This window comes from Homo sapiens, chromosome 15, assembly GCF_000001405.40.
Source record: "Homo sapiens chromosome 15, GRCh38.p14 Primary Assembly".
NCBI classification, from domain to species: domain Eukaryota; kingdom Metazoa; phylum Chordata; class Mammalia; order Primates; family Hominidae; genus Homo; species Homo sapiens.
This window is the reverse complement of record NC_000015.10, coordinates 41702611-41718131: the sequence shown is the minus strand read 5'-3', so window position 1 is coordinate 41718131 and position 15521 is coordinate 41702611. Positions and strand designations below refer to the sequence as shown.

Sequence of the window (15521 nt, the reverse complement as noted above, 5' to 3'; positions counted from 1 at the left end):
ATTCATATCTAAATCAAATTTCTATCCTTAATATGTATTTTATACATATGGACATATTTACTAATTACAACATATGATGTCACCATAATTTAGAACATTAATTTTTTTTTTTTTTTTGAGACAGGGTCTCACTCTGTCACCCAGACTGGTCTTTTTTTAAGTCCACTGTAATGGCAAAGTATACTGATTGATTTTTCAAATGTTAAACAAATCCCACACTTCTAGGATACACCCCACTTAGTCATGATGCAGTATTCTTTAAATATACTGTTGGATTTGAGTTGCTAAACTTTTATTTAGAAATTTTACATCTATGTTCATAAGGGTTATCAGTCTACAGTTTTCTTGTAAAGTCTTCTTATGGATTGAATATCAGGGTAATGCTGGTTTCATAAGATGACACCATTTTATGGAAGACTGTATCAAATGGGATTTAGTCTTTAATGTTTTATAGAATTCAACAGTGAAGCAACTCAGACCAGAATTATTATTGCAGGGTTTTCCACTACAAGTTCAATTCTCTAATAAGTATAAGGCAAGCAGTCACCTATTTCTTCTTGAGTGAGTTTTGTAGCTTGTGTCTTTTAAAGAGTTTTTCCATTTCATCTGAGTTCTCCATTTACTGACATAAAGTTGTTCATAATATTGCCATATCATCCTTTCAATGTCTGTACTGAAGTCACCTTTCATTCCTAATAATGGTAATTAGTATGTTCTCTTTATTCCTCAGTCTGGCTACAAGTATCAATTTTATTGATTTTTTTTCTTTATATTGTTAATTTATAGGTATATTAAGTGGGCTAAGAAAACAGAAATGACAAGTTTTATTCTTTCCCTTGGTACTACCCACAACAGCTAGGCACAGTACCTCTGCACAGCCAGCAGTATTTTTTGACAAACCAAAGGATAAGCAGGTGATAAAAGTAAAGGCCACTGGGGTCTACAACAAGGAGGCAGAATTAAAATTTCAGAAATTGTACAAGGCAGAAAAAGCATGAGGACTTGGCAGTCCCCTACAACTCACTTAGTATCTTTATGACCTTGGAGAACAAGTCACTAAGCACTCAATTAGCTCATTTCTAAAATGGAGAATGAAGCCTCCTTATCATATAAGGTTGAAGGTTTAAATGATAGAACCTTCATAGAGAGCTATGCATAACAGTGTCCAATAATGTTACCCATCTTTTTTTCAGCAATGGATTGAACCATTACAAAAAAATTTTTAAGTCTGTTACAATGACAAAAAAAAAGTATTAAATGCTGAGATTTTATGCATTGAGAAGACTAATTTTTTATATATTAACTATATAATAAAAACACACAAAAAACTGTGCTAAAGAATATAAAAAGAAACAAGTCTTCCATCATACCCAGTGTTGCAGTGACAAGTGACTACTTTTAAACATTTATGTTTATTTTTAGTGGTTACACTCAATCATTCTAAATAAAATGCTTATACCTCAATTTCATAACTTACTTTTTTTTACCCTCAGTTTCCACCTATCTTTTTGCAAAACATACTAAAGGATTTCAACTTTTCCAGTTTTTATATTTTTTCTTTGTCCATTTTTGGTATCGGCAACATGTTTACCTCTAAGAACTCTTTCCTGTTTCTACTCCTTTTACATATCAGTTGTTAACAAAAATATCACCCCTCCTTTTTCTTTTTCTTTTTTTTGATACGGAGTCTCGCTTTGTCGCCCAGGCTGGAGTGCAGTGGCACAATCTCGGCTCACTGCAAGCTCTGCCTCCCGGGTTCACACCATTCTCCTGCCTCAGCCTCCGGAGTAGCTGGGACTACAGGTGCCCGCCACCACGCCTGGCTAATTTTTTTTTTTTTGTATTTTTAGTAGAGACGGGGTTTCACCGTGTTAGCCAGGACAGTCTCGATCTCCTGACCTCGTGATCTGCCCGCCTCAGCCGTCCAAAGTGCTGGGATTACAGGCCTGCGCCACCGTGCCCAGCCATCCCTCCTTTTTCATCCTTCCCTAACAGCACAAGAAAACTGATGGCTCCTAGATAGGGAATAGCAAGCTTTGCTTTTTATAATGAACTGTACCAGTAAGAAAACAAAAAAATACTTTAATAATTGGCTATCGGAGTTTAATTATAGTCAAGGATAGGGCACAGGATGAAGACAATAATCAAAAAGCAGTAAAGCCTAAGAGGTAAGCACTATTCCTGCTTATGTGGGCTTCCGTATTTTATTTTTGTTGCTTTGAAATGGAAATGCTTGTCTTAAGCATAAGAAGGGAGTAAACTCAGTAAGGAGATATGGGTAGAACTAAACTAATAAATCTACACTATGCTTCATTTTAAACCTTTAAAATCTTATTTACACAAAGATCATTTAGGTATTTAAATACACTATATCTCACTTAAATGCTAAAATAGAAATAAGAATACCCTGGCACTGGTCACAAAACAGGAGAGGCCAGAAAGAGATCCAGTCATTAATATATTTTAATTTATTATATTACAGGTGACATTTTAATTCAGTAGGAAAAGTATATTTCTCAATAAGTGATAGTACAACGGCTAGGCATTTGGGGGAAATATGATTCCCTACTACAAATCCCACATCAAATAAATTCAGCTATATTAACAACTTATTTTTTTTAAGTCCAAAAAAGTACTAGAAGAAATATAATTAAATATTTTTATAATCTCAAGGTAGAGAAAGACTTTCTAAACAAGACTTTAAAGACAGAAACCAAGCCCTTTGGGAGGCCGAGGTGGGCCGATCATAAAGTCAGGTGTTCGAGACCAGCCTGGCCAATATGGTGAAACCCCGTCTCTACTAAAAATAGAAAAATTAGCCAGGTGTGGTGGTGCATGCCTGTAGTCCCAGCTACTTGGGAGGCTGAGGCAGAAGAATTGCTTGAACCCAAGAGGTGGAGGTTGCAGTGAGCCGAGATCGTGCCACTGCACTCCAGCCTGGGCAACAGAGTGAGACTCTGTCTCAAAAAAAGAAAAAAGAAAAAAAAAAAAAAAGACAGAAACCATAAAAAGAAAAGACTGCCAAGTTTAACTATCACTGCTTTTTCACTGGGGGCGGGTGGGCAGTGGGGGAGGGAACCTTGAACAAAACGAAAATGTAAATTACAAAATTATAACCTAGAAAATATAAAGCTTCTGCAAACTAAAGGAAAAAAACACACTCCAATAAAAGTTAGCAAAGAATTCAAAAAGGCAATTTACAGAAAAAAAGTTTATGATAAATGGTCAATAAATCTATCATAGAAGAAATACAAATCTAAAACAAAATATCAATTTCTGCCTATCCATATGACAGTTTTAAAAGTTGTAAAATATTCAGTGTTAGAACAGAAAACTAATTGGGTACAGTGGCTCATGCCTATTATAATCCTAGCACTTTGGGAGGCTAAGGCAGGAAGATTGCCTGAGCTCAGGAGTTCAAGACCAGCCTACGCAACATGGTGAAACCCCGTCTCTACTAAAATATAAAAAAATTAGCTGGACACCTATAATCCCAGCTACTCAGGAGGCTGGGGCAGGAAAATCATTTGAACCCAGGAGGTGGAGGTTGCAGTGAGCTGAGACCATGCCACTGCACTCCAGCCTGGGCAACAGAGCAAGAGAACAGAAAACTGGCACCATCCAGTATCTGACTACTGGCATACGTCTGAAGTTGGCACAAGTCTAGTGACATCTACAAATGTTTAACATGTACACACTGTCACAGCAATTCCACTTTTAATAGCCTGTCTTGAACATGGATGTTCATCACCGTACAGCTTATAATAAAGAAAACCCAAAAAGGCTAACTATCCAACCAAAGGGATTATAACAACATGAAGCCATTAAAACTAACATTATAAAATTAGATCTACAATTGTTGATGTGGAAAGCAGAACATGACGTTATGATGGAACATACACTGAAATATTAATCATCATCTCTGATTGAAATGAACACAGAGCAACAGGAAGTGTAAACATAAATTGCCAAGAAAAGGAGTATTAATCCCCTGATAAACTAAGAAACCTGTTTCAATTATACGGTAAAATCATTTCAATACATTTGAACAAAATACAAAGATATAACAGAAACGAAAAAATCAATAATGAAATAATATGTAACTTGGGTCTACATCTACATCATATTTTATCCTCTCCCACCAAAAAAAAACCCAATTTTCAACACAGTACATGATGTTCAGCTTTACCACAATCCTACTTTGTCCCCAAATCTCCAACCATGAGCAGAGGGTCTTTTTGCAAACTTCTCCTTTTAGAAAACATGATGCATTATATGGATCATCTATAGTCTTTCCAAGGAACGTACGTGTGTCTACCTGTGTGTGTGTGCACATGCGCACAATCCAGAAAATGGAAGAAACTCAAAGATCAAGGGCATTCTAGAAAACCAAGTAACAGTATGATTTAAATTTAGCACAAAAAAGCAATTCTCAGAGAACAATTCAACTTAAAAAAGGTGTGTGTTTGTGTGCATCTCAGATAGCCAGTCAGAAAGAGCATGTAAGGATAATAAGAAGTCTCAAAGCTCTTATTGGATAATTGATCGGGATTAAGGTAGGTTGTATTATTCTAAAATAACCATACTTTTCCAAAAACTGATATGGCACAGTTTTAACTCTCAATTAATACTCACTGTATTCTAGCTTCTTTCTCTTCTTTTTCTCTTTCAATTGTTCCTCCTCCTCCCTGATTCCTTCTTCCTCCTCCCTTGCCTCCTCTCCCAGAGTATCATAAAATACTGGATCTCGATGAGCAGCCTTCCTCTGAAAATGCTTAGTTTTGGATCCTCCTTTAACAAGTACAACTTTTCTTTTCAAACAAGTACAACCAAACATGCAGTCTGGTCGGCGGCAGTGAGCAGGTTGGCGCTTCTCCAAAGCTAGACTGGAACATACACAACCCAGTCGACAGAAGTCATTGTTGCAGGGAGGGGCTCGTTTCCTTATGATTGTGTGGATAGGTTTAGTTTTGAGGGATGCCTAAAGTCAAAGGAGAAAATTGTAATTCCACTAAACCATCCCCCTACACCACCACCAACTTATGGTCATATACTGGACTGCATTACTCTCTGATTTTAAGTACTAACAGCACAGGACTAATGCAGATTCAAAGGACAGAACATGAATCTAACCAGGGCTCTAAACAATCTGCCATTCTAATGCTTAGTACAGACAATTATGGGCAAAACTATCAAGGATGGATTTATTTTCAATATAAATTATACATAATGTTCTAACGCAAAGATTAACAAAGGTTGAGACCCATGGGCCAAATCCAGCCTGTGTCATAAAGTTTCACTGGAACGCAACCAGGCTAATTCATACACATACCGTCTGAAGAACTACAACAGCAGAGTTCAGTAACTCCTATAGAGAGTGTATGGTCTGCAAAGCCTTAAATATTTACTATTTGGCCCTTTACAGAAAAAGTTTGCTGGTCCCTATTGTAGGGTAATTAATAAAAAAAGAATAGGACAATACATAAATAAAAGTCTTTATGAAGGATTAATAACGAATAAAATAATCTGCATTTAGTTCCAACATCTGATGATCTTCAGTTCCAGAATTCAGTCATAGAATTACAAAATGGAAAGTAAAAAAAGTAATGATGAAGGCCAGGCGCAGTGGCTCATGCTTGTAATCCTAGCACTTTGGGAGGCCGAGGCAGGCAGATAGCTTGAGCCCAGGAGTTTGAGACCAGCCTGGATAACATGGCAAAACCCCATTTGTATTTTTAATATAATACAAAAAATTAGCCAGGCGTGGTAGTGCACACCTACAGGCCCCAGCTACTCAGGAGGCTAAGGTGGGAGGACCACAGTGAGCTGTGATCACGCCACTAAACTCCAGCCTGGGCAACAAGAGTGAGACATTGTCTCAAAAACAAATAAATAAATAAATAAATGTGCTGTGGCATCATTTCACATGCACCAGAGGCTGCTAAGATAGGTACATCATCAATAGATCAAAAATTCCTTCCTGCAACCCTTGCCATAAAACTTCTAAAATATAAAAATAAAAATAAATAAGTGAAAAATTATTAATACAAAATTTCACAAAAGATAAAGGTTTCTCTCCAGAGGTTTTTAATTTTCAATTTCCTGGGATTTAGTATCTTTTAAAAGCATAATTTTCAGGCCGGGCGTGGTGACTCATGCCTGTAATCCCAGCATTTTGTGAGGTGAGACAGGTGGATCACCTAAGGTCAGGAGCTCGAGACCAGTCTAACTAACATGGCGAAAACGTGTCTCTACTAAAAATACAAAAATTAGCCAGGTGCAGTGGTATGTGCCTATAGTCCCAGCTACTCGAAAGGCTGAGGCAGGAGAATAGCTTGAACCCAGGAGGCGGAGGTTGCAGTGAGCTGAGATCCTGCCACTGCACTCCAGCCTGGGCAACAGAGCGAGACTCCATCTCAAAAAATAAAAAATAAAAGCACAATTTTCAAAGTTGTTTTAACAAGATCAGCCAATGTACTTGCCCATATGTTGGAAAATGAAATCAGAGATTTTCAGAATGGTCAGTTGCCTTTATACAGGAGAGAGAGGTTATTCAAAAGTGCAATTGTACTCTCTCTCTCTGATGGCAGGAGAAATCTACACCTGAGTATCTAGTTGGTAAAGAACAAATGGGGAAGACATAGCCTTAGTTCCCATGAAGGTTCTAAATGCTAAAAACTAGCTGATCACCCTGCCAAAAAGTACCATTCCCATTTCCCCTCACTAACCTCGCTCTTTCTAGCCAAGCACTAATATACCTCCAGAAAACAGCAGCTACTTACTTGAGCTGTAAGTAGAGTTGTTAAGGATACATCTGCTCGCTCTTCTGTGATGTATGTCCTTGGTTTTCCTTCCCAAAGTGCACAGTCTTCCAGGTCCATTAGCTTCACCTGAGATTTAGACAAGCCTGGAGGGCGACTTCCCTGTTGCTGTTGCTGCTGCTGCTGTGCCTGCCGCAAACTAATCTGCTTTGGAAATATATTTTCATCCAAAGTTGGCACAACAAAGTTATTCGCCTGATTTTCTGAGATGATGCCTGAAGAATTCTTGGTAACCTTATCTCCTAGAATCACATGAGAGTATTTCTGCTTTGGTGAAACAGGGTATGGTAAAATGGATTTATAAGATGATTTAGTTCGGCCACTGAAAGTTGCCTGTCTGTTTTGAGACTTTGCCTTTCGAGAGACAGGGGGTACAGAATGAGGTTTCAAAGAATAAGAGGTAGAAGGGGAAATAGTAGATTGCTTCTTTAGTACACTATCAAGTGTTCGTACATAACTGGTACTCTTAGTGGGAAGCTGGTACACCACAGGAGATGTGGGAGCATTAGAAGAAAAACCCATGCTTGTTTCCATCAGCTTGCCTTCATTTTCCAAGTATTCATCTAGCTTATCACTACAGAAAGCAGAACGATTTTTCAGTGAACTTTCTGAATTTCCACCTAGAAATAAGAAAACATAAAATGCTTAAAGAAATCTAGGACAGATTTATGAATCTCCATAAAAACACTAAAAATGGCCAAGAATATTGAGCTACAAGATAGTGAATCTTCTAAACTATCCCTTAGCTGGGCACAGTGACTCCCACCTGTAATCCCAGTACTTTGACAGGAAGAAGCAAAACGATCGCTACAGGCTAGGAGTTCAAGACCAGCCTAAGTAACGTAACAAGGACCCTGTCCCTAAAAACATAAATAAATTTTTTAAAATAAATACTTAATAAACAAACTATCCCTCCTCAGAAAGAAAAAATAAATAAAACCAAGTGAAGAGAATGAGTCTCAGATATTAATGACATTAAAATCCATTCTCTAGTCTTGGGCACTAAAAACATTAAAATCCATTCTCTAAAATTATGTCTTACTCTAAAACTATCACATTATATTATTTATTGAGGCACTAATTCTTACAAAGTGCTAACAATGTATTTAACCTAAGAATCTTCAATCTTTGACAATCTTTGACCTGATTAAAGAGACCAAAGATAAGTAAAAACGTAACAGGGAGCCTGTGCACAGTGGCTCACTCCTGCAATCCCAGCGCTTTGGGAGGCTGAGGCAGGCAGATCACCTGAGGTCGGGAGTTCGAGACCAGCCTGACCAACATGGAGAAAACCCGTCTCTACTAAAAATACAAAATTAGCTGAGCATGGTGGCACATGCCTGCAATGCAATCCCCAGATACTCAGGAGGCTGAAGCAGGAGAATTGCTTGAACCCGAGACGGGGAGGTTGCGGTGAGCCGAGATCACGCCACTGCACTCCAGCTGGGCAACAAGACCAAAACTCCATCTCAAAAAAAAAGAAAAGAAAAGAAAAACACATAACAGGGGAAAAAAAAAAAAAAAGAAATTAAAGCAGGCCTCAACAGAATGCCAAAAGATTATTTATGAGAGTGAGACTGAGCACGGGGGTTCATGCCTGTAATCCCGGCACTTAGTGAGGCCAAGGCAGGTGGATTTCTTGAGCTCAGGAGTTCAAGACCAGGCTGGGCAACATCACAAACCCCAGCTCTACAAAAACTTAGCCAGGCATGGTGGCGCACACCTGTGGTCACAGCTATTCTGGAGGCTGAGCAGGGAGAATCACTTGAGCCCAGGAGGTCAAGGCTGCAGTGAGCTGAGATTGGACCACTGCACTCCAACCTGGGCAATGGAGCAAGACCCCGTCTTTAAAAAGCGAGGGAGAAAGACTGGAATGCCTGGAGTGTGATACAAAACATTAGAGAAAAAGGAAGACCACAAGAAGAGGCGTGTAAAATTTACTTGGGTTTTTGTTTGTTTGTTTGAGACAGGGTCTCGCTCTGTCACTCCGGCTGGAGTGCAGTGGTGTGATCTTGGCTCACTGCAGCCTCAACCTCCCTGGGCTCAAGTGATCCTCCCACCTCAGCCCCGCAAGTAGCTCGGACTACAGGAATGCGCCACCACATCTGGCTGTTTTTGCATTTTTTTGTAGAGAGGGGTTTTCACCATGTTGCCCAGGCTGGTCTCGAATTCCTGAGCTCAGGCAATCCGCTTGCTTCGGCCTCCCAAAGTGCTGGTAGATTACAGGCATGAGCCACCATGCCCAACCACAAAATTTAGTTTTTAAGAAACAAAAAAATTAAGTACAGAGACATGAATTACATTGTTATAAATACTGTGAAAAGATCAAAAGGTGAGAAAAGTATTTTGGAAAACTGGCATATTTATCTGGTTAAATTGCAAACGAATGCAGTGAACAAGGAAAAGCACTAAGAACGGAGACCAAGAGGGATACAGTCAAAATGCTTGGATTAGTTTAGTTTGAAGTATAAGACTATAGGAAATCACTATAAAACTCTGAAGTATACAGTTCTAAACTAATGCTTGAGAATGTTTTTTGTAACTGCAGAAACAGAAATAACAGAAATGCTGTTAAAAAGGCTGCAGCAATTATTTAAGCCTGACTGAACCTCAGGGTTGTGACTACAGGAAAATGGGTAGCAGACAGAAAACAGCAAGACAAGTATTTTCAGTTCATTTTAAACCATGGAAGGCTTGGGCGCGGCAGCTCACGCCTGTAATCCCAGCACTTTGGGAGGCCGAGGCGGACGGATCACCTGAGGTCAGGAGTTCCAGACCAGCCTGGCCAACATGGTGAAGCCCTGTATCTACTAAAAATACAAAAAATTAGCCAGCCGTGGTGGCACATGCCTATAGTCCCAGCTGTTTGGGAGGCTGAGGCAGAAGAATCTCTTGAACCTGGGAGGTGGAGGTTGCAGTGAGTCAAGATCACACCATCGCACTCCAGCCTGGGCAACAAGAGCAAAACTCAGTCTCAACAACAACAACAACAAAAAACCCATGGCGAGAAGGAATGAAGAAAAACAACCAAGACTTACTTTTAACAAAAGGTTTCTGGCTACATGTTTCAGAACATTTAAAAAATTTTAAAAAACTAATTACCTTCATTCCTAGATGCAGAAGCACTATGAAATTTTCCCCTCCATCCCTTGATCTTAGTGAAATCATTGGTTTTCCCTGTCCTAGAAACAAAGGGAAATCCCGCATCTATAAAAGAAAAAGTCAAACAGATGACCAAAATTCTAGCAGGCCAATATTATGGACCTAGTTAATTAATAAAACTTTAATTTGGTAAGTGTATAAATCACTTATCAAAACTATAACAACAGACAAAAGATCTATCTTAGACTAATGTTAAATGTCACCAATAAAGGTAGCTTTTTACTTACGTTACAAATAACGTAAACTTCAAGAAAAATAGTGTTTGACTTTACAAATGTTACATACTCACCAGGAGAGGCAGGGTTGGTTCCTGTAAGGTTCCAAAAAGGAAAGCTAGTAGCTGGAGCCAAAGGTAACTGTACTCCCAAGTATTTAAGATCAATGCTCATTGTTGGATCCACTGAATTCAATTTTAAGCCCACTAAAAGAAAAAAGGAAATCATATTTCCATAGATTAATCAGAAATCATATTATCTCCCTTCTTTGTTTTTAACTTGTGCCTGGGAGATGGCGGGGGGGTAAGGTCGAGAGAGAAAGGAGATAGTGAAGAGCAAAAACAATGAAAAAAACAAACTGTAGCAGATTCAATTTAAGGTGGCCCCATGATCCATGACATCTGGTATTACACATTTGTATAACTCCCCTCACCCCGACTATGGTAGGCAGGGCCTGTAATTTGTTTCTTATCAATAAAATGTGGTAAGGGAGATGGGACGTGCATGATAATGTGCATGTGATAACACAAGTTATCCATCTTGCTGGAGCTGCAATGAAATAAATTTTGCCAATGAGCTGAGGGAAACTGGAAGCAGATCCCTCTCCAACCAAGTCTCTGAGAAACCAGGCCTGGCCAATATTTTGACTGTAGCCTTGTGAGACCCTAAGCAGAGGACCCAACTAAGCTATGCCCAGACTGCTGACACATAGAAACTGTGATACAGTAAATATATCGTTTTAAGTTGCTAAGTTTGTGATAATTTATTAAGCAAGGTAACTAATTAAAAAAGAGCAAAATTCAGATCTCTTGTGCTTTAACTCTTTGTGGTCCAGAGACTGTCTAAGGCCTCTATTACAAACTCACCATAGACTAAGCTGCTGGCCTGATTATGGCTACTGGTTCTCTAGTCCTTATTAATGACATTTATGGTTAATCAAGCCTAAAAATATTATGACTTCCTTATTTATAGGTTAAGAGGCAATATTTTGGGAAGGTATTTAACTTAAATTTTAATAAAACTGAAGCCAAAAGAAGTTCAAAGTGAAGCGTTAATTATTGGCCGGAGCTGGTGGCTCACACTTGCAATCCCAGCACTTTGAGAGGCCAAGGCAGACAGATCACTTGAGGTCAGGAGTTCGAGACCAGCCTGGCCAACATGGTGAAACCTCATCTCTACTACAAGTACAAAATTAGCCAGGTGTGGTGGCATGTGCCTGTAGCTACTCAGGAGGCTGAGGCAGGAGAATCACTTGAACCTGGGAGACAGAGATTGCAAGGAGCCGAGATGATGCCACTGCGCTCCAGCCTGGGAGACAGAGTAAGACTCTATCTCAAAAAAAAAAAAAGGGAAAAAAAAAAAGCTAAGTGTTAAGTATCATAGTAAAGCCATTAAAAGTCACAGGCGTAAGTTTCCAGTAAAAAGCTCACGTAGTGCTGGTTCTCTAACAGGTAAAGACATTAGGTAGGTTATGAACCCCATGTATCCTATACATAAAATCTATCTGAACAAAAGATGGCAAGCCAGGCACTGTGGCGTGCACCTGTAGGCCCAACTACTTGGAAAGCTGAGGTGGGAAGACCACATCTCTTAAAAAAAAAAAAAAAGACAGCTATTTTGTTTTAGTTTGCAATTCCAGTTCTTTAACATATCTTTATTGTATTACATATTTATTTATTCATTTTTTTTTTTTTTTTGAGATGGAGTCTCACTCTGTTGCCCAGACTAGAGTGCAATGGTGTAATCTCGGCTCACTGCAACCTCCGCCTTCCTGGTTCAAACGATTCTCCTGCCTCAGCCTCCCAAGTAGCTGGGATTACAGGCGTGTGCCACCAGGCCCGGCTAATTTTTGTATTTTTAGTAGAGACGGGGTTTCACCATATTGGTCAGGCTGCTCTCGAAATCCTGACCTCGTAATCCGCCCGCCTCGGCCTCCCAAAGTGCTGGGATTACAGGCCTGAGCCACCGCACCTGGCCTGTATTACATATTTATTGTATTTAATCACACAGTATGATTAAAACATCAATCAAATAAAACAGCCTTTCCTCATGTTCCCAATCAACTACGGGAAATATAGGATAATGAGTCAAAACAATGATTTCTAATCTTGCCTTTACTACTTTTTAATTGTATGACTTGGGCTAAACTTCTCTTTAGTTTTCTCAACAGTAAAATGAACACCAATCCACCACATTCAGTTGTATGCTTTGAGAATCTACTGCACTTTCTCTGTAAAGCAGGTGATCTCAGAGAGATAAAAGACATTTTGCAGGCCTGGCATTTCAGCTCACACCTGTAATCCCTGCACTTTGGGAGGCCAAAGAGGAAGGACTGGTTGAGCCCGAAAGTTCAAGATGAGTCTGGGCAACAGGTTAAGACCCCATTTCTACAAAAAATTTAAAAATTAGCTGGGTGTAATGGCACGTGCCTGTGATCCCAGCTACTCAGAAGACTGAGGTGGGAGGACTGCTTGAGCCCAGGAGGTTGAGGGTACTGCAAGCCATGATCGTGCCACTGCATTCCATCCAGCCTAGGCAAAAAAGCAAAATCCTGTCTTGAAAAAAAAAAAGACCTCAAGAAGCTTTAGTGTTATGTTTTCCCAACTGACTTTCAGTAGGTAGCATAGGGTAAATAAGTCCCTACGAGAGGTAAACAAAAAGAAATCTGAGGCCGGACATGGTGGCTCACAGCTGTAATCCCAGCACTTTGGGAGGTTGAGGTGGGCAGATCACCTGAGGTCATGCAAGAAAATCCTTCCCCAAGTAACAGACAACTGAGACCTAGACTCAGCTGATTTCATATGAAATGGGCATAAAAACTTTAGCTTGCAGAAAATAATTTGGCTGAATAATTCATAGAAAGCATATTGTGAAAAACCTATTATCTTTTTATATTTTTATTCAACCAGAGCCTACTTAGAACCTAAAATCTTGTCTACATGTCAGTTTAAACTATATTTCTAAATCGTTTTGCTTCATTTCACCATATTAGAAGCTACTTCTTAAAAATGTGTTATAATGTCATTACAAAAAAAGACTCATAAAGATAAAGCTGAAAAGAGATAACCTTTAGATTCAAGCAAAGACAGATTCACCTACAATAAGATATAGCCAAAAATGCCAACTGCTAGCTAAAACCACTGAAATACAAAAGTACACTCAAGATGTTTATAGTTCTATAAACACCTATATAAGTAGTAAACACAGAATAGAAAAGCACATATTATAAGGAAAACTCCAGCTAATCACCAATTTTTTTTGTTTTGTTTTGTTTTTGAGACGGAGTCTTGCTCTGTCACCCAGGCTGGAGTGCAGTGGCACGATCTCCACTCACTGCAAGCTCCGCCTCCCAGGTTCAAGCCATTCTCCTGCTTCAGCCTCCCCAGCAGCTGGGACTACAGGTGCCCACCACCACTCTTGGCTAATTTTTTGTATTTTTAGTAGAGACAGGGTTTCACCGTGTTACCAGGATGGTCTCGATCTCCTGACCTTGTGATCCACCCGCCTTGGCCTCCCAAAGTGCTGGGATTACAGGCGTGAGCCACCGCGCCTGGCCGCTAATCACTAATTTAATGTAACATTCAGAATTTTTTTTTTTTTACTGCAGGGCACCATGGCTCACACTTGTAATTCCAGCTACTTGGGAGGATGGGCTGAAGCCAGGAGTTTGAGACAAGCCTAGGCAAAACTGGGAGACCCCATCTCTAAAAAAAAATATTTTAAGGAAAAATAAAGCATTTTTATTAAATTACTAAAAAAGGAAGAGGAAGACAGTTCTTGAAATATTGTCATTACTCATAAAGGAAATTAACATTAAAACCGGCCAGACATAATGGCTCATGCCTATAATCCCACCACTTCAGGAGGCCAAGGCGGGCAGACCTCTTGAGCTGAAGAGTTCGAGACCAGGCTGGGCAACATGGCAAAACCCCATCTCTACAAAAAAATACCAAAAAAAATTAGCCAGGTGTGGTGGCATGTGCTTGTAGTCCCAGCTACTTGGGGGGCTGACATGTGATCACTGGGGCTCAGGAGGTCGAGACTGCAGTGAGCCATGTTCACATCACTGCACTATAGCCTAGGCTGGGTGACAAAGCGAGACCCTGTCTCAAAAACAACAACCAAAAACCAAAACAAAACATTAAAACTGACAAGAGTCCACACTGATAAGTGAATTTTTTATTTTTATTTTTTGAGACAGTCTCGCTCTGTTGCCCAGGCTGGAGTGCAGTGGCAGGATCTCCACTCACTGCAACCTCCATCTCCCAGTTTCAAGCAATTCTCCTGCCTCAGCCTCCAGAGTAACTGGGATTACAGGCACGCACCACCACACCCAGTAAATTTTGTATTTTTAGTAGAGATGGAGTTTCATCTAAGTGAATTTTTTAAAAAGAAGAATAGATAAATCTCTGGTGCAAAATAACTACAAATAACTTATATAGATAGGCTACACTCAAGGAGGTACAATATAACTTCTTGCACATTAAGTGTGAGCTAAGCATAATGACTTCCTTCCAAAGAGTACAATATGGAGAGAAAGGGAGGGTGGGGAGTGGGGGGGGGGGTAACTTCACAATGAATAAACTGACAATATCTTAGCCAGGTGATCAAGGTCAACATCAATAGTGATAAATCATGTTAATGTATGTACTCTTGATATGATGAGATGATAAGTCTCAACTGAGGGACATCTATAAAAATACCTGACTCTTCAAAACTGTCAAGGTCATTAAACACAAAATCTGAGAAACTGTCACAACCAGGAAGATCCTAAGGAGACATCACTACTAAAAGTCTTGTGGTATCCTGAATGGGATCCTAGATGCAAAAAAAAGGACATTGGGTAAAAACTAAGGAAATCTGAATAAAGTATGAACTTTAAATAGTAATATATCAGTACTGGTTCACTAACTGTAACAAATGTACCAATCTTATGTTAGATATTAATAGGAGAAATTCTGGATACTGAGAGAATTAGGAATGGGGGGAAAAAAAATAGGTATTCTCTGCACTGTGTTCTTAATTTTTCTATAAATCTAAAACTCTTCCAAAACATAAAGCTTTAATAAAAAACTGACAATAATTGACTTGGTAGCAATGAAGGAGAAATGCTTTAAACACACTTTTAAAATGCAAAGACAGACGATAATTTCAGATAAGCTAACAGACTTAAAAAGCAGACCAATGTAGATACAGTAAATATAGCAAACAAAAATATAGTACCACGGAAAGAAAAATTAAGAATCTTATTTTATTTTTAAGTAAAACTACCAACAACAATATAACATTTTCCCAGGCTTAATCAACACTGCTTTCCCAATTT

The 15521-nt window shown here is 39.2% G+C and overlaps 1 protein-coding gene across 49 annotated transcripts in view; it reads right to left on the bottom strand.

The window, feature by feature from the left end:
• The window catches only part of MGA (MAX dimerization protein MGA), a 148717-nt gene that overhangs the window by 51809 nt on the left and 81387 nt on the right, over positions 1-15521 (bottom strand). For all 49 annotated transcript variants that reach the window (XM_017022029.3, XM_047432300.1, XM_047432302.1 and 46 more), the window contains 4 exons: positions 10273-10404; positions 9924-10028; positions 6783-7441; positions 4636-4981 (listed from right to left, as the gene is read on the bottom strand). In XM_017022029.3, coding sequence (XP_016877518.1) covers positions 4636-4981; positions 6783-7441; positions 9924-10028; positions 10273-10404 — 1242 coding nt within the window. The remainder of the gene's footprint in view (positions 1-4635; positions 4982-6782; positions 7442-9923; positions 10029-10272; positions 10405-15521) is intronic.